At 45.5% G+C, this 20,448-nt stretch overlaps 1 long non-coding RNA gene across 1 annotated transcript; it reads left to right on the top strand.

Moving 5' to 3' along the window:
* The first annotated feature begins 2,528 nt into the window (after positions 1-2,528).
* Positions 2,529-19,407, top strand: LOC124903768 (uncharacterized). The gene is made up of 2 exons (XR_007065191.1): positions 2,529-2,664; positions 18,135-19,407. It is a non-coding gene; the product is annotated as an uncharacterized LOC124903768 (long non-coding RNA).
* The last annotated feature ends 1,041 nt before the right edge of the window (positions 19,408-20,448 follow it).

Consider the following 20,448-nt stretch of genomic DNA (forward strand, 5'->3'; position numbering starts at 1 on the left):
AAAGCCTTGGAAAAAACTAATTAATCCTAATGTTAGCATAATAAACAAAATAATAAAAATTAGAACAGAAAGAGATTCAATAAAAGACAACAGAAAAGATAAAAGCAGAGAAATAATTTACATATAAAATTTATCTAAATTAAATAATTTAAGAAAAATGAGAGGGGTAAATTTTATTTTTTATTTTCAAGTTGAAACATTAAGTCTCTTATTTTTATTTTATTTTGTGTTTATGCTTACAATAAACGGTTCCTAAAATTTTATCCTTAACTCATAGACATTCAATTTGTCTATAGGGTTTGTATTAGGTACCTAAGGTGTGGCCTTGGGTTTGTGAAAGAGGATTTGTGGAGAAGAAAAAAGCAGACTAAGAGAAAGTGATACAAAAAACCCATGGGAAGGGGACAGTGCACAGTTGGTGAAAGGACTGGTTAGTGCTACAAACACTGTTCCACGCAGGGTAACTCTGATTTCTAAATGTGTGTATGCAGGCAGATGAGAGAGACAGAGGGCCTAGAAGCCTAGGATAGTGGAGAAAATAGGTCACTGGTGCAGATACAAGATGTGGGCATAGAAGTAAGCCACAAGTCTTCTGGGCACTTACGTAGCCTATTAGTAGGAAACTCTAGATGCAGAGGTTCAGCACAGTTCCTGAGGGTGAAGCCTTGTTATGGGAGGGGTGAAGCTACATCATTGCCTAGTGTGCATGTGCATGAGTGTGCAGGAATCACTTTATAGCAGCAGGGTGGGGAGAGGAGTCTTCCCTCAGAACTCCATCCCTTTTAGTCCTCAATTCCCTCTGACCCTGGATAAGACCTCTTATCACAAGACAATTCACATTGTGACAGCATGTGTGTAAAAAAATAGAGTCTTTATTCCCCAAAAGACCCACAGTATACCTCCAGCCAAGGTTGCTGTGATATCTTTGTTCTAAGACCAAATATATGGAGTTTGTTGAACACCAACCAATTCATCAACACCAACTGGGAGTTTAACAACCTAATTCTGACACCACCCAGATTCGGCATAGACCCCGAAGTTCAGGACTCAGTCCCACATTATCCCCACTGCACATGCCTGTCACAACCAATATGGTCACATCCATGCTTCTGAGCAGCTATCTATAAATCATAAGCTCCCATAACCCTCTTCGTCAAGCTTAATAATTGAGAAATTACTCACAGAACTTGGCAAAATATTTCACCTGTTTACCAGGTTATTATAATAAATACAATTCAGAAAAAGCCAAATGCTAAGAATGGATACAGCAAAGAAAAGTAGAAAAGAAAGATGGGTTGGGTAGCGAGTCCTGGTAAATAGTGATGTAAGAAAACTCTCTAATTCTTTGTGTTCTGTGAGAACAGCTTATTGCAAAGAAACACCTTTACCATTGTGACCTAGATGGTACATCCTCTTTTAGATATCACAGATTCGCAGATTCTCCACATTCCCATTTGTTCCTCATAAACAATTAAATACTTTTGTCTTCAGAGTTCAGAAGAAAATACTTGTTAGGCTCAGTTTGCTTGTTTCTTTTTTCCCCCAGGCCCCTGGCCTCTGCTCCACCTTCAGTCTGAGTAAACATACAACCCCTCTTTATACCCCTCCCAAGAACAGGCTGATTTCAAGGTGAAACCTTCTCTAATCTTGAATGGATTTTGCCACTCTGCATTGTTCCCTTCCTCTCCCACCCTTCTTTCTAATGAGGCTCTCTCTTCCATTCGAAAGACAGCTCTTTTCTGCCTAGTATTTTAGATGTTTGCAGATATTATGCTTGATGCTTCCACTATTGCAATACTCCTTTAGGATAAAGTCTCTAAATTTATTTTATTTGAAAATATCTAGAAATAGCCCCAGGACAATAACAATTACACCCTCACAGAGAACATCTCAGTCCTCCTCCCATCTCAAATCTCACTGCATCTGCTTTGACTCTCATAACTGGGCTTCGAGCAATGGGTAAGGTCCTGGGCCTTCTAATTGTATGGAGGTCAGAGGATTATAAAACCCACGCATATCGAATATGCCCCTTGAGTGGTACAGAGAGTTTCATAACAGGACCCAGTTCACAGGTGAGATATAGAGACCTGGATGACCACACAGCCAAACGTTGAAATTGTCACATGCCCACATGTACACAGCCCACAACTGAGGTTCTAAGCCTCACACCCATGGGCAGCCAAAGGTTGAAGTTGTGACTCTTACATATCGATCCAGTCCACAGGTGAAATGGTGACTCTCCCACCAAGATTCAGCACAGCATTGAGGCTGTGACTCCCTTACCAGGACACAACTTGCAGAAGGGATTGGGGCTCTCACATGAGGATGCATTCCGCTGTTGAGATTGTGACTCATGTACTTGGACCCAACTCACAGGAGCTGTTGACTGTTCTACTTGGAGTGGGTAAATATGTGGGATTGGGGGTCTCATTTCTGGGCCTTCCCACAGGTATAATTGTGACATACACCTCCACCTAGAACCTTAGTGATTTGACAGTTCTTTTGAGCTCAGCACAGAGATATCTTGTGACTTATACCTGGGACAAACACCTAGGTGATGTGACTATTTTGCCTAGACACTTCCCTCAAAGGAATTGTGATATATCTCTCTACTTTGAACATAGGTGATGTAAAGCTTTTCCCCTAACTGGACCCTGCCCACAGGTAAGGTTATAATATATCACTAAGCCTAGTACTTAATGATGTGACTGTCTGATCCTGTTTGTGCCCTGGCCTCAAGAAGCATAATGACATATCACTGGGCTAAGCAACAAGGTAATGTTGCTTATGTGTGCCTTTGGTCTGGCCCATGTGCACAGGGGGCATTGGGAAATATCTCTGTACCAATCACCTAAAAGATATGACTCTCCTCACTTGCCTGGACTCTGCTCACAATAGAGATTTTGACAAATCACTGGGTTCAGCACCTAGGTGATGTGGCTCTTCCTTCTTTCCTGGGCTCTTCCATCAGAAAAGATTGTGATGTTTTCTGAGCCCAGCACACAAGTGAGGTGACTTATCTCCCTGGGACCTCCCCACAGAGAGCATTGTGAAATATCTTTGGGATCATCACCTAGGTAATGTGAATCGCCTCTGCTTCATGGGCTTTGCACTCAAAAGGGCTTGTGACTTTTCACAGAAAGCAGCACCCAGGTGACTTGATTCTTTTGGATGGGGGGCTGGGATCTGCCAACAGGAATAATTTTTACATGTTGCTTGTCTAAACCCTAGGTAATATGACTCTTCTTTCCTGCTGGGATCCTGCCCACTGTGTATTGTGACATATCTCTGGGCCCAGCACAGAGGAGTTGAGACACTCCTTCCTTGGCACTGCCCTAAGGGGACATTATGCCATATCTAGATGATGTGACTCTCCTCTCTTGCCTGGAACCTTTTTACAGTTGGCATTGTAACATATTGCTGGGTCCAGCACCAGGTGATGTTATTGTTATCCCAGGGCCCAGCCCACAAATGAAATTGTGGCATATCTCTGGGCCCATCACCTAGGTGATTTGACTCTGCTCTTCTGCCTGGACACTTTCCACAAAAGGAATTGGGACATATTGTTGGGCCCAGCTCCCAGATGATGTAACTGTCCTGCCTCGGCCCCTGTGCACAGGGGGCATTTTGACATACTTCTTGGCCAAGCAGCTGGGTGATATGACTCTCCCGAATGGGCTATTCTCCCAGAGAGAATTGTGATGCATCACTGGGCCAATCATGTAGGTGATGTGTCTCTCCTCTGTTGCCTAGACCTTGCCCAAAATAAGAATTGGGACATATCACCTGATCCAGCACCTAGGTGATGTGACTTTTGGGTCTGTCCCTGCACACAGGTGAAATTGTGAAATATATATATTCATAGCTTAAAGGTGGTATGATGACTGTCATATACAGAACAAGCTAAGAGAAGAGATTTTGACTCTCATAGCTAGGCTTAGGGCAACAGGCATTGTCCTACGTCTCCTACTTTAACGAAGGTCATAGTGTATTATGGGCACCAAAGCACAATGTATTAAGCCCTCAGGTGGTACAGAGAGTGTCATAACAGGACCCAGCAAAAAGGTGAGATTGTGACTCTCATATGTACAACCAGCTGACAGAATTGTCAACCTCACACATGGACAGTGCCCAATGGTGAGGTCTTAAATCTCACATGCAAGCCCAATTCATATTTGGAATTGTGACTGTCATACATAGATGCAGCCACAGGTGAGATAGTGACTTATTTTTGAACCCATCTCACAGGCATAGCAATAAAACTTATACCTGGGCCCAGTCAACAAGAGAAATTCACAATCCTGTGCATTTTCCAGCTAAAGGTATAAGAGTCAGCCCCTCTTGTGGGTTGAGTCCAAGTATGCAAGTTAGTCCACAACAGTGGACTAAATCAGTGAACGAGAGCCCAAAGCTCACCTGAAGACTGTGTTTTAATAGGGGAAACACAGTCCCCAGGTGTTCTAAATCATGGTCTTGAAGTTATCATCCCATCTGTGGATTGGATTGTCATATGAGATTCACAATTCCAACTTATGGCTTCTTGGCGTGTGACCAGAACCTCAACATTGGGCTCTGTTCACGTCAGAGGGTAATGATCCTTATTTTTGGCTGGGTGTGCATACAACTGCCACAATTTCACCTGTGTGATGAACTACATTATGGCACTCTTGGAGCACTTGATGGCTTTATACAATGTGCATGAAGGTCAAAATACTCCATGACCACCCTACAAGTTGAAGACACAGGACCTTCATTTTTGCCCTAAGACTAACTACAAGAGTCAAATATTTTCACGTATGAGTCATCATCCCACCTGTAAGCTGCACCCATGTATATTTCACAATTCCAGTTGTGGGGAGAGACAAGGCACCAGAGTCACATCACCCGGGTGCTGGTCAGAGATATGTCACAATTGCCACTTTGGGCAGGATCTAGGCAGCAGAGGAGAGCCCCATCACCCAGGTGATTGGCCCAGTGAGAGGTCAAAATCCCCCCTGGGAGCAGGGGCAATTCAGGAAGGTTTCATCACCTATGTCCTTGTCCCAGCAATATGTCACAATACCCTCTGTGGCATTGTTATATCACCTGGGAGCTGGACTTGCTGATATGGTACAGTTATATCACCCAGGAGCTGGACCTGGTGATATGCTACAATGCCTCTTAGGGGCAGGTTCTGGCAGGAAGGCAGAGTTACATCACCTAGGTGACAGGCCCAGGGATATTTCACAATCCCTTCTCTAATTAGAACCCAGGCAGAAAAGTTACATCATTTGCATTAAGGGTCCAGTGATATGTCACAATCTCAACTAAGGGCAGGGCCCAGGCAGGAAAGGAGAGTCACTTCACTTTGATGACTGACCCAGAGATACATCATAATTTCCCTTGAGGGCAGGGCTCATGCTGAAGAGGCACATAAATAAAGTGCATGGTCCAGGTGTATGTGACAATCTCAACTGTACACTGGGCCCAGGCAAAAAAGTAAAATTAACCAGGTGCTGGGAAAAGGTATATGTCACAATCACACCTTCGAAAAGTTTAGGGATAAGATTCAAAATCTTACAAATGTCCTAGCTTCACTTATGACAGTCAACATATCTTGTGAGGTGCGTTGAAGTACTCAAGTCACAACCTCAACAGTGGACTTGATCTGTGCATGAGAATCTGAACCCCTCTTGCAGACAGTGTCCCAGTAAGGGAGTCACGGCCTCACAGGTGTTCTGAATCTTGGTGTGAGAGTCACTATCCTACCTGTGGACTGCATCCATGTATGAGAGTCAAAGTTCCAACTTTTGACTGCCTCTGAGTGTGAGATTCAGAATGTCATAAGTAGGCTGGGTTTTTGTGGGAGGGTGAGAATCTTTACTGTGAGCCAGGTGTGCATATGAGAGTCACAGTCTCACCAGTTTGCTGGTTCCTGTTATGAAACTGTCTGTACCACCTGATGGTTTTACATGGTATATGTGAGAGTCACAATCTGCTTTGAGGTTTTTGTGCTTTCCCAGGTGTATGTTACAATCTGAAATTTATGATTATCCCCATTGCCCTGAGACCAGGCATGACCGTCAACATCTCTCCTGTTTATTGGGTTCAGGTATGACAGCAATTTATGTTCCTGTGATTTAGGTACAGAAATGGGTCAACAGCCCTCCTGTGGCTCAATCCACATGTGACAGGCACAATTCCAACAGTGGACTGTATATTTCGGTGAGGCTCAGGTACTCATTATTCTGCTCTGTCCATGTGTATGGGTGACAAATGTAACAGTCAGCTGGGTGTTCATACAATAGTGACAATCTCAATGTTGTGCTGGGTACTATTAAGACATTCACTGTACCATCTGAGGGCTTTACACAATATGTGTGTGTGTGGTAATCACCTGTTATTATTATTTTTTTAAAGTAGAAAACTCAGGACTTTATTTTTTGGCTTAAGCCTAGCTATGAGAGTCAACAGCTCTCTTATTGGCTGGGTGCAGGTATAAGAGTCATCACTGGGCCTGTAAGCTGGGTATAGATATGACTCACCGTCCGATCTTTGGCCAGATTCACATTTGACCGTCAATATTTTAACTGTGTATTGTGTCCCCATATGAAAGTTACGACCTCACCAGTAAGTTTGGTCAATTTGTGAGGGAAACAATGCTAATTGTCATTTGGGTGTGCCCACAGAGTCACAGTTTTACCCCTGTGCTGGGCCCTGCTATGACATGCTCTATATCACCCAAGGGCTTTATAGAATATGCATGAGTATTGTAATGCATCCATCTTTCTACATGTAGAAGACCTGGATCCTTGCCTGTTTCCCTAAGCCTGACTATAAGAGTCAAAATCTCTTCTATTTGCTAGTCCACATATAAGAGAGTCTTCATCATACCTGTGGGCTGGACCTAATTATATGTGACAATCCCACCTGTGGGCAAAGACCAGGAGGGACAGTCACATCAACTAGGTGCTGGGCCAGTGATATGTCAATATTTTTCCTGTGTGCAGGGTCCTGGCAATAAAAATTGTATCTTCTGAGTGCTAGGCAAAGCAATATGTCACAATCCACCCTGTAAACATGTTTCAGGCAGAAGACAGTCATGTCACCTAGGTGATGGTCCCAGTAACATGTCATCATTCCTACTGTAAACAAATTCAAGACAAAGAAAATGGTCAGATAACATAGGTGATGGGCCCAGAGATATCTCACAATGACCCTTGTGGACTGGCCCAGGCAGAATGGGAGAGCCACATTACCTAGGTGATTGGGCCAGAGATATGTCACTTTTTCCCCAGAGGGCAGAGTCCAGGCAGGAAAGTCACATATTCTAGGTGCTAAACCTAAGTATATTTTACAATCTAAATTGTAGACTGGGCCTAGGCAAAAGATTAAATCAGTCAGATACTGAGCAAAAGTGTATGTCACAGTCACACCCCTGTAAAGGCCCAGAGATAAAATTTGCAATCTCTAATATGCCCCAGCTTTGGATTCAGAGGCAATAGTTCCTGTGAGTTGCACCCAAAAGGCAGGTAACAACCTTAACAGTAGACTGAGTCCGTGCATGAGAGTCCCAATCTCACCTGCAGACAGTGTCCCAGTAAAAAATAAAAACATCACAAAGTGCTGAACCTTGGTCCAGAGTCACCATCCTACTTGTACATAGAATCCCTATATGACAGTAACAATTTCAGCTTTTGACTGACTCTAGATGTGAGATTCAGAAGCTTAACAGTGGGCTGTGTTCATTTGGAAATTGACAATGCTTTGGCTGGGAGTGCATATGAGAGTAACAATCTCACTGGTATTTTGGGCCATTTTATGATGTTCTGTGTGCCACCTGAGGGCTTTAAAAAATAGGAATGAGTCACAATACTTGGCCTGGTGTGGTGGCTCACGCCTGTAATCTCAGCACTTTGGGAGGCTGAGGTTGGCATATCATGAGGTCAGGAGTTCAAGACCAGCCTGACCAACATGATGAAACCTCATCTCTACTAAATAAAAATACAAAAATTAGCCGGGCGTGGTAGCACATGCCTGTAATCCCAGCTACTCAGGAGGCTGAGGCAGGAGAATCATTTAAACCCAAGAGGTGGGGGTTGCAGTGAGTCAAGTTCGTGGCACTGGACTCCAGCCTGGGTGACAGAGTGAGACTCCATTTCAAAAAAATATGTCACAATACTGAGACCTGTATGCTTGTGTGGACACATGATCTTACACATTGCTTTAAGCCCAGAGAGGAGAGTCAGCATCTCTCCTATTGGCTGTGTCCAGGACTAATATTTATCACTGTCCCTGTGAGTGGGGTCCAGAAATAAGTCAGCATCACACCTGTGGCAGTCACAATGTCAACTGTAGGCTGCATCCACGAAAGATTTAGCATCTCAGCAGTGGGCACTGTCTGTATGTGAGGGTGACAATCTTAACTTTTGACTGGATGTGTATGTGAAAGTAACAACCTCAACTGTGTGCTGGGCCCTGTCTGAGCATACTCTGTACCACCTGAGAGAATTGTATCATATGTCAGGGTTTCATATTTCTCTGTGACCTCTGTACAGGTAGGAAACTCAGGACCTTACCCATTGCTCTAAGGCTAGGTACGAGTCAACGTATGTTATTGGCTTGGTCTAAGTATGAGAGTCAACACCATGCTTGTAAGCTGGATCCAGAAATTAGTCATCATCCAGCCTGAAGGCAGATCCACATATGACAGTCACAGTTTCAACTCTGAACTGCATCCATGTGTGAGATTTAGAATCTCACTAGTGGACTCTGTCCATGTATGAAGGTGACAATCCTAATTGTTGGCTACATGTGTCTTCAAGAGTCACAAGCTCACCTGTTTGCTGGGGCCTGTTATGTAACTCTCTATACACCCCGAGGGCTTTATAAAATACATGTGAGTGTCATAATCTTCTGTGACCTTTTATAATTAGTAGACCAAGGACCTTCGTTGTTGCCCTAAGCCTAGCTATTAGAGTCAAAACTTCTCCTATTGGCTTGGTCCATGTAAGAAAGCCATGATCATGACAGTTGCCTGGGCCTCAGTATAAGTCAAAACCCCACCTGTGAGCAGAACCAGGGAGGAAAGCCACATCACCTGAATGCTGGGCCAGGGAAATGTCAATATCCCTCCATGGGCAGGACCCACACAGGAAAGTCACATCGCCTTTGTGCTAGGCTCAATGATATGTCACAATGCCCCCTGTAGGCAGAACCCAGTCAAAAGAGTCACATCACCTAGGTGCTGGACCAGCAATATGTCACAGTCCTCCCTCTTCATGAGGCCTAGTCATGAGAGAAGAGTCATACCACCTGGGAAATATGCTGGTATTTCTGTTACTGGAGGCAGGGCACAGGCAGTAGAATCTCATCACCTAGGTGATGGGCTCAGAGATACCTTACAATACCCCTTCTGGGCAAGGCCCAGACAGGACAGTCACATCATCTAGGTGTTTGGGTTAGGTATAAGTCAGAACAACCCAACTGTTGGCAGGGTTCATGCAGGGAAGAAAAGTCAATTAAGTGCTGAGAAAAAATTATGTCAAAGTCACATATGCTGGAAGGCTCTGGGATGAGATTCACAGTCCCACACAGTTTCTGGATCAAGGCATAAGAGACAACATCTGTGATTTGTGTTAAGGTACACAGATCACAATATCAGTGATGGACAGAATTCATGCATGAAAGCTCCAACATCACCTGCCAAAACTGTCCAATTAGGGCAGTCACTGCCTCACAGTTGTGTTGAGTTTATACCCAAACTCACCATTGGTATAAAAGTCACCATTCTACCTGTGAAATTGATCCATGTATGAGAGTCACAATGTCAACTTTCAACTGATCTGGATGTGATATTCAGAACCTGAATAATGGGCTATGTCTATATGGGAAGATGACATTCCTGACTGTATGTTGTGTGTGCATAGAAGAGTCACAATGTTACCTCTGTGGTGGGTCTCTATAAGACACCCCTTGTGCCATGTAAGAGCTTCATATGATCTGCATGAGAGTGAAACCTGCTCTGAGAACTTACTGATGGTATAAACCCATGATCCTACATGTTGCCCTAAGTTCAGGCATGAGAGTCAATGTGTGTCCTATTTGCTGGGTCCAGGTATGAGAGTCATCAGTGTGCCTGTGAACTGGGTCCAGAAATGAGCCATCATCTCATTTTTGGATGGATCCAGATATGAGAGTCACAATTCCAACTGTGAGTTGTTTCTGTGAGTGAGATCCAGGACCTCATGAGTGGGCTCTGTTCACATTTAATCTTAATTGTGGTCTGTGTGCATACAAGAGTCACAATCAGAATTTTGAGCTGGGCTCTGTTTTAACACTCTCTGTTCCACCTTAGGGCATTATACAACATGCATGAATGTTGTAATTCTTTAAGTCCTCTGTAAAAGTATGAAGCCCAGGATCTTATCTGTTGCTGTTAAGCCTTGATGCAAGAGTCAACATCTCTCATATTTTCTGGGATTAGGCATGAGAGACATTGACATGCCTATGAACTGGGTCCAGAAATGGGTCACCTTCCACTCTGTCTCTAGATCAACATATAACAGTCCCAATTCTAACTGTGGACTGCTTGCACATGTGAGGTGCAGATCCTCACCAATGGACTTTGTCCATGTGTGAGAGTGACAATCCCAACTGTTGGATAGTGTGCCCATGAGAGGCAAAATTTTACCTCTGTAATGGACTCTGATAAGACCCAAGTATTTTATACAATATTCATGAGTGTCATACTCATCTGTAATCTTTATACAATTAGGAGACTCAGAGCCTTACTGATTGTTCTAAGCTTAGGCATGAGAGCCAAAATCTCTTCTTTTGGCTGGGCTCTCATATGACAGTCATCATTATTCCTGTGACCTGAACCTAGATATGTGTCACAATCCTACCTGTCAACAGAACCAGGCAGAAGAGTCGCATCACCTGAATACCGAGCCAGAGATATATTAGTATCCCCCTGTGAGTTTGGTGCTGGTAAAAATTCACATCACTATGGTGCTGGGACCAGTGATTTGTTACAATGTCCCCTGTGTGCAGAACAGGCTGAAGGATTACATTGCATGAGTGCTGGGCTCAGCAATGTGTCACAATCACCTTTGGGAATGGGGCCTGGGCAGGGGAGGATAATCACATCACCTGGAAATGAGACCAGAGGTATATCACAGTGCCACCTGTGAGAAGGGACTATGCAGGAGGGCCACATTACCAAGGTTATTGGCTTAGGTATATGTCACAATCTAAACTGTGGGCTTTCTTCAGGTGGTATATTCAAATCAGTCAAGTTCTGGTTGGGCAAAACTATATGTCACAGTGACACCTGTGGGAAGGTCTAGGAATGGAACTTACATTCCTGCACATATTCTGGCTCTGGGTATAAAAAGTATGCACCTCATAAACTTTTACATGCCTCATGTGTCCAAGTATGCAAGTCATAATTTCAACAGTAAATTGGATCCATGCATGAAAGCCTCAACCTCAGACAACACACAATAGGAGAGTTAGAAACCTAACATATTTGTGGAATCTTGGTCAGAGACTCATCAACTCACTTGAAGACTGGATCCACATATAAGCATAATAATGCCAACTTTTGACTGCATTTGGGCATGAAATTCAACAGTGGACTGTGTCCATGTGGGAGTGTGAAAATCTTTACTGTTGGCAGTGTATGCAATGAGAGTCAAACCCTCAACACTGTACTGGGCCTTGTTTTATTATTCTTTGCACCACCTGTGGCTTTTTATGATATGTTTGAGACTTGCAATCCACTCTGAAACCTTGTGCTTATATAAACCCATGATCTTACTTGTTACTCCAAGCCCAGAAATGAGATTCAACATGCCTTCTATTGACTGGTTCAGATATGAGTCATTACCATGCCTGTGAGCTAGGTCCAGCAATGAGTCACCCATTTTACCTATGGCCAGATTCACATATGACAGTCAAAATTCCAACTGTGGACTGTGTCTATGAGTGAGATTCAGGGCCTTAACAGTTTGTTATGTCCGGGTGTGAGATTGACAATTTTAACTGTTGGCTGTGTGCTGGGCCCTGTAATGACACTCTGTGTACCATTAAAGGGCATTATAGAATATGCACAAGCTTCCTAATACTTTGTGATCTTTCCAAATATAGGAGTCTGAAGTCATGATACATTGCCATAAACCCAGCTAGAAGAGTCAGAATTTCTTCTATTGGTTGTGTCCATGTATGATAGTCATTATTATGCCTGTGAACTGGACCCAGGTATATGTGACAATACCACCTGTAGGCAGGGACCAGAAAGGAGAGCCACATTACGTGAATGCTGGGCCAGAGATATGTCAGTATCCATTTTGAGAGAAGAGCCCTGGCAGGAAAGTCACATCACCTGGCTGCTGAGCTTAATGATATGTCACAATACTCTTTGTGGGCGGGGACAAGACAGGAGAGTCAAATTACCTGGGTCCTGGTTTCAGCAATATGTCACAAATTACCCTGTGGACAGAGCTCAGGAAAAAAGCGAAGAGTCATATGACCTAGGTGATAGGCACAGAGATATGTCACAATGCCTCTGAGAAAGGGGCTCAGGTAGAAGAGTTATGTCACCAGAAAATATGGCCCAGGTAGATTTCTCAATCCCAACTATAGACATTGCTTAGACAGGAGAGCCACATCACCTGAGTGCTTGGCCCATTGATTTGTCACAATCTTTTTGGCAGGGAAAGTCCAGGCAAAAAAGAATAGTCAAATCTACCAGGTGCTGGGCCCAGTAATACGTCACAATAACCCAGGTAAGCAGGTCCAAGGCAAAAGAGAAGAGTCATATCACCTAGGTGATAGACCCAGGGTTATGTCAAAATTTCAAATGGGGATGGGGCCCAGACAGGAGAGAGGAGAGTCACATCACCTAGGTGATGGACCCAGGGTTATGTCAAAATTTCAAATAGGGATGGGGCCCAGACAGAAGAGGACAGTCACATCACCTAGGTGATGGACCCAGTGATATGTCACAAAGCCCCTTGTGGGCTGAGCCCAGGCCAGAGAGGAGAGTCACATCACTTAGGTGATTTGTGCATAAACATTTCCAAATCTACTCTGAGAGTATAGCCCAGGCAGGAGAGTCACATCACCTATGTGCTTGGCCTAGGTATAGGTCATAATCCCATGTTTAGATGGGACCTTGGCAGAATAGTTAAATCAACCATTTGCTGGGCAAAGATATGTGTCAAAATCATGCCTGCAGAAAGGTCCAGGGATGAGATTCACAATACTGCATATGGCCTGGCTCCAAATATGAAAGTCAACACCTTTTGTGAGTTCTGTCCAAGTACATGAGTCACAATGTCAACAGTGGAATGCATCTGTGCATGAGATCCCCAAACTCATCTAAAAACGGTGTCCTAATAAAGAAGAAACAGCCTAACAGGGTGTTTAATGTTGATCCAAAATCCCCCATCTTACCTGTTGTCCAGATACAGGTATGAGAGTCACAGTTTCAACTTTCAACTGCCTTCAGGTGTGAGATTCAGAACCTCAACAATGGGCTGTGCCCATGTAGGTGGATGATAGTCCTTACAGTTAGCTGAGTGTGCAGACAAGAGTCACAATTTCATCTGTGTGCTGGACCCTGTTATGAAACTCTCTTTACCACCTGAGGACATTGTATTGTATGCTTGATTGTTGTAGGGCTCTGTGACTTTCATACAAGTAAGAAACCCAGGACATTCCCTGTTGCCCTAAGTCTAGTTACTAAAGCAAACATTTATTTTATTGATGGGGTCCAGGTATTAGAGTCATTATTGGGCCTGTGAGCTGGGTCCAGAAATGAGTCACCATCCCACCTGTGGCCAGATTTACATATAACAGTCACAATTCCAACTGTGGACTTCTTCTGCATGTGAGATTACAGATCTCACAAGTGGGCTCTGCCCATTTATAAGGGTGACAAATCAAATTTTCAGAAGAATGTGGCTATGAGAATCACAATGTCAACTGTGTTCTGGTTTGTATTATAAAACTCTCTGTACCACCCAAAAGCTTCCTAATATATGTGTGTGTCAGACTCTTCTGTAACTTTTCACAAGTAGGAGACTCAGGACCTTATCCTTCACCCTAAATCTATCTATGAGAGTCAAAATCTCTTTTATTGGGTGGTTCTGCATCTGAAAGACATCATGATGCCTGTGTGCTGAGCCTAGGTGGAGGTCATAATCCTATCTGTGAGTGAACAGAAGGCAACAGTCACATCACCTGGGTGATGGGACAGATATATGTCACAATCCCTTTTGTTGACAGGTACCAAAAAAGGAGGTACATCACCTGGGTGCTAGGCTCAGTGATATGTCACCATGCCCAGTGTATGCAGGGTACAAGCAGGAGAGTCATATTACCTTGCTGCTTGGCCCAGTGATATGTCCAATCCATAGGGAGGGCACAGGTAGCAAAAGAGAGTCACATTACCTTGGTGTTGGGATAGACCTATCAGTCTCTCGGTCATTCAGGGCAAGATATCTCTTTAGATATCCATGTAACAGAGCCCCAGCTCCTCTGTCCTCAGAAGCAAAAGCTGGTGGAGACCAAATAGGGCTTGAAACGTAAGTTACCTAAAAAAGCAGAATGTCCTGGGCTTTGGCCTCTCCCCTTCAAGCACAACCAGATACTTCTCAGTACACCAGCAATGGAAAAAGGCTCCTGACTCCACCCCCTCATTTTTCCTCCTCTGCACTCTGATGGGGCAGACCAAGGAGGAGGAGAACTGAACTCTGGCCCAGCCAGGGGAGAATCAAGTTTGAAGAGGGGGGCCATGGAGACGATTGCGTTCACGGGTCCCCTGGCCCGAGGTTGCAGGCCCAGGCTTCAGCCCACATGTCACATAGAGCAGGTTCTACGATGCTGCTGGAAGGCCTGGAAGAGCATCTGCAACTGCTGTTTCTTCCTTTTCGTAAGTGCTGAAAACGTGAACACTTTCCCAAGGTTTTCAGATATGCCCAGGCATGCCAAGCTGAAGATGGAGCTAATGGCATTCTTCAGTATGGTTTATCTCCTTGCCTGCCTGGGCAGCAACCAGCCCTAATCTTGCCAACCCAGCTGCCCCAGGCTGGAGGCCATCCTGTTGTGCCTCCTCCCTGCAGTTCCACTCCTCCTCTTTTTCTTCTTCCTCAACCACCGGCATACTTTTTGTCATCCTATTTGTCATCACAGTAGAGTGCCTGACACTATGGAGACCCGGGAACCCCACCTATCTCAGGTCCTGCAAAGGTCAGGTGAACAGGCAAGAAGTCCAGAAGGAAAGTCATCTGCCACCTCCAGAAAGAACAGAACAAAACCCCTACACTCCAAGAAGAAGTCAGCAGGCCAGTGGGAAGTGCCAGTCTAGCCCACAACAAACTAGGCATATGGGGTGCTCCGAGGTTCATGCTCGTGTCCTGCAGGCTGGAGCCCACACCAGGGTCCGCAGTCTGTTCTGGACTGGAACTAGCGCTTTAGCTGGTTACCCAGGCGTCCCCGATGGGGAAAGGGTGGAAAGGTTGAAAATCTTCAGCACAGAGGATCACCTCGCGTGGCAGCAACCAGCCCTGCCCGCGTGGCACCAGCAGCCCCAGATGAGAGGCGGTCCCATCAAGCCTCATCCATACAGCATCTCTCCTTTTTTTTTTTTTTTTTTTTTTTACCTCATGGCCCTAATCCCCTACTTTGGATCATCCTCCTTGTCACAGTGGGTCACCAGGCACTGTAGAGACTCGGGAAATGCACAGATATGGGGTCCTGCAGCATCCAGGTGAACATGCCGGGAGTCAGAGAGGAAAGTCCTCTGAAGCTTCCAGAAGGAATGGAACAGACCTGGCACTGAAGGAAGAAGCGGGGCTCCCAGTGGCGGATGCAGGCCCCACACGTGGCAGCAGTAAACGTGCAAGGCACTCCTTGGCCTGCGCCTGTTTCTTGAAAGCTGGAGCCGTGCAGAGGCACGGGGTCACCCTTCCACACATAAAATAAGCTGTTGGGCTGGCTGCTTCACCCAGCACCTGGGCCGTGCCATAGAGAATGTTGGATGCTGCTTTCCTGCTGGCTGCAGTGTCTGCCACTTTAGCGACCTCAATAACACTTCACCCACAGGGACTCCCTGGTGTCCAGCTTTCAAGCCTGGGGTTTCTCAGCACCCAGTAATTCCAAAAGAAATGCTCTACCATGGCATGACCAAGTGCCAGAAACAAAACAAAACAAAAAAATCTGAGAGAAGTCCATTCGTCACTTTGACTTTTCAAAGGTGACATTTGTCCCTCTTTGAAATCTTAAGAGTGCATGAACAGGCTATTCTAATAGACCTCTGATTCATACTGATTGAAAGGTGAATTCTGATTCCAAGGTACTTTTCATTCTCATATTATGTCTGCTTTCCCTGGGCCCCCTCTAAGTGGAAGCATGATGACTACTTGTCTTCTTAGCACTGAGGGGACATGGAGCCTTAGATGGAAGTGTGTCAAAAACAACATTCCATAAATGACTGTCACTTCCAATTTTCAAGAAATGTGGGAAACTATCCATGATGTATAAAACACTGTTGGCCAAAAATGCACATTTGGTAATGTAAAAATGAATGGTATAAACTATTCCACATATGTATGCCCATGATGGCAATTTGGACATCAGAAAATATGGCCAAATTCAGCAAGAGGAACCTGTAAGCTCATGGCTGTTAGGAAACTTAACTTCTGTGTACTAGAACCTATCAAAGTTATTTCTCCATGTCAATCTGTCCAAACAAACTGTGAGATGTTTATTTCTACAGAATTCCTATAGAATCCTAATGGGTATGACCCTTCTGACCCCATCCTCAAAGCACTGGTGCCAGTGGAATTGCACTTGCTTATGCTTCCCCCTATTTTGTTAAGAGTGGAAATATTTAGTGACAGGGTGGGTTGGGAAGGTACTGTAGTAATGCTAAGACCCCTGGCGGGGTAGGTCAGGTCTCCTGAAGCCCAAGCATTTTTACAATAAATAAATTAAAAGTTAGAAAAAAATAAAAAGAAAATGGAAATCATTCTTTTTCGTTACTCACCACAAAAAGAAACACACAGGGTCTAGACATGTCTGTTGGAGCCAGGCTTGTCCTAGGAAGATGGGAAGTGCTGAGCAGGAGCCCTGGGGATGGAGGGCAGGTGATATGGGGCTCCCAGGGAGATGCAGCCAGGGTCAGAGCCTGGCCCAATCAGGCTGGCAGGAGCCTTCTGAAGGCCAGGAAAGATAGCACAGGACACTGAAAACTTAAGCGACTCATCTGAATCTCAGCAGCCCTGCCACGGGGGGCCTGTTCAGCCCTGAGGATCTCAGTCACTGAAGGAAGGTGGCTGGTGGAAGGGGCTAGGGAGCTTCCTACTGCCAATGCGGGAGTCCACTGCCCTGCCAACTGGAGAGAGCCTCCTTGGTGCAGGGCCCAGTTCCATCAGTCTGTGGGTCTGTCCAGGGGGACAGGCTGACCTCTGTGGCCATGCCCATCTACCAGAGCCTTATCTCCTCAGTCTGGAGAAGTGTAGGACAGTGGAGACTGGATAGGACTTGAATGGGAGGCCCCCTAAAAATAGTGTGTCATGAGTTTTGGCCTCTCCTCTCCGAGTAGAACAAGATGACCGCCTCTGTCCTGTCTCCTCGCAGTGCCCAGCACTGTAGCAGGGCTATTGGCCGTCACCTCCCCCTGCTCTGCCTCCCCAGCCTTGCACACTTCTCAGGCAAGGCAGAGATCAAGCCTCTAGAATCTTGGCACAGCCACGGGAGGAGTGAGCCAGAAGAGAACCAGGGCAGTGGAGGTGCGGGCTGCGCTCTCACTGGTGCCACAGACCTAGGCTGTGTTCCCAGGCTGCCGTACAAGGGGTACTCGGTGTGGGTCCCAGCGCCCCTCAGTGGCCTGAGTGATTGGCTGCAGCTGCAGCTTCTTCCAGTTACTGAGCAACAGGGGCCTGTATCATTTCCAAAGGATTTCAGACAATCCCCGGTGACTCCTGGCAGAATGTGGTTATTTTGGCGATCTCCAGAAGGGCACAGGGCCTTGCCCCCAAGTAGCACCTAGCAATATCCGCGTCCACCCAGGCACTAAGCATTTGTGTTAGGCCTCTTTCTGGAAGCTCACCTTCTTCTGCTCACCCTATGTCTTCCCCACCCAGGTACTTCTGGCCATCCTGCTTGTCAGCACATTGGGAAAACTGGGTGCTGGAGACTCGGAAACCACCGTGCAGACCTCGAGTCCTTCCCAGGCCCAGCCAACAGGGTGGTGAATTGAAGAGAAACATCATCTTCTGCCTCCTGAAGGACCAGAACAGAACCTAGAAGTCATGCACCAGTGAGGCTGCAGGTGCAGCCCACAACAAGGCCGTAACGTGGGGCGCTCCCTGATACTGCCCTTTTTTTCTGGAGGCTGGGGCTTACCCGGCCGAGGTCGCCCTTTAGGACAAGGAATCAGAGCTTTGCTGGCTGCCTTACCTTGCTGGGGCAGAGCCAGAGGGAATCGCTGCTGAAGCTGTCCTGTGGGCTGCTGTGCCTGCCCCTTTAGTGACCCCACGGAAACACCTCCGCAACAAGTAATCCACAGTGTCCTGCTTGCCAGCCTAGGCTTCCTCATCACCTGCTGTTTCCGAAGAGAACAATCTACACTGGAATGACCAAGCTCTAGAAACAGGAGGATGCAAAGAATCTGTGGAAAGTCTGTTTGTCATCTGGATTCTTAGAAGATACACATTTTCCCTTCTTGTTATATTCAGTAGTGCATGAAGCAGATATTACAGTAGATGTGCAATTCACACTAAAGTTGATAGAAGGGTAAAGTCGTATTCTAAGGTACTTTGTGGTCTCAAATTTGTTCCCAACCCCATGATGCCCTTAAAAGCTGGACAGTTATCATTGAGAGTGGAGGTAGAAAGAAACTAGCTAGTCAGATACAGCACAGTCCTCGGCAGAACGTCCCTTCTAAAGAAAAGCAGCCCAAGAAATCACTTCTCTTTAACAAAGAGCAACCTGGAAGATGGGGCTGCAATCATAGATAAGGAAGCTAGAAGCTTATATGAGAGGGTATGACTGCAGCTGCACCAAAAGAAGGGACCACCTCAGGCCAGACACATTCAACATGGGGGGCTCCACCCAACTTTTTTGCACATGCACAGTAGGAAAGAGATAAGCAACTTGGAGTAGCTCAGGCTAAGAACCCGCCTGCATAATAAAAGGTTGGAGTGTGGGCTGCCAGAGATTCGTGTTCTATGGAGATGACACACCTGGTCCTAACCATTTTTTCATGCCCTATGTGGATAAGACACTCCCTTCCACTAGCTCATGTATAAAAACCATTGCATTTCACTCCTGAAAGTCAAGAGTTTTTGAGGATCCCTCTCTGCAGTGGAGAGTTGTTCTCTTTCTTTCACCTATTAAACCTCTCCTCCAACATCACCCTTGGTGTGTCTGCATTCTTGATTTCCTCAATCATGAGACCAGGCATCACCCCATATGATAAGGCCACTTGATCATGACTTGTCTCTTTGCTCCTTGGGACATGGAACCTTCAATGAAAGTGTGTCCAAAAGGACATTTCATAAAGTGCTCTCACTTCCAATCTTCAAGCAATGTGGGAAACTATCCATGTGTAAAAAACTTTTGGCTGAAATGCACAATTTCTAATACAAAATGAGTCCCATAAATTATGTGTGTGTGTTATGGCCATTGGGATATCATCACATATTGCCACATTTAGTAAGAGGGACCCGTGAACTTCTGGCTAAGAAACTTAAGTTCTACATACTGTCATCTATGAAAGATAGTTCTTCCTGCATTTCTCCAAACCAATCTTGAAATGTGTATCTTGTATAAAATTTCTATATAATCCCAGTGAGTTTCACCCTTCTGGCCCCACCCTCACTGCACTGGTACCAATGGAATTGCATTTGCTCATGCTTCCCCCTTGAGGTCATAAACATTTAGCGACAGAATGGACCCAGAAGGCACTAAAGCAAGAGCTGAAGCCTTCTGAGTAGGTGAGTAGACATGGCCTGCAGCCTGGACATCTTCACAATAAATAGGTTGTAGGTCAAGTTAGAAAAAAAATGGAAATTATTCTTTTTCTTTGAACACCACAAAGAGAAATGCACAGGATCTAGACGTGTCTGTGAAGCTAGATTTGTCCTGGGAAAGTGACAAGGGCTGAGCAGGAGCCCTGGTGATAGAGGGTGGGTGAGATGCAGTCCTTACGGAGAGATCACTAGGGTCAGGGCTTGGCACACTGACGCTGGCAGGGGCCTTCTGAAGAGCAAGGGGGATGGCCCAGGACACAAGCCTGAAGTGACCTGTCTGAGCCAAACATCTGTTTAGGTCCACCTGAATCTCAGCAGCCTTGTCAAGGCAGGTGAGATCAGCCCTGGGTATCAGTGACAGTGGAGGCCGGCAGCTGGTGGGTGGGGAACACGCGTGAACTAAAGGGAGTGGATAAAGAAAGAG

Source organism: Homo sapiens, chromosome 16 (assembly GCF_000001405.40).
Source record: "Homo sapiens chromosome 16, GRCh38.p14 Primary Assembly".
NCBI lineage: Eukaryota > Metazoa > Chordata > Mammalia > Primates > Hominidae > Homo > Homo sapiens.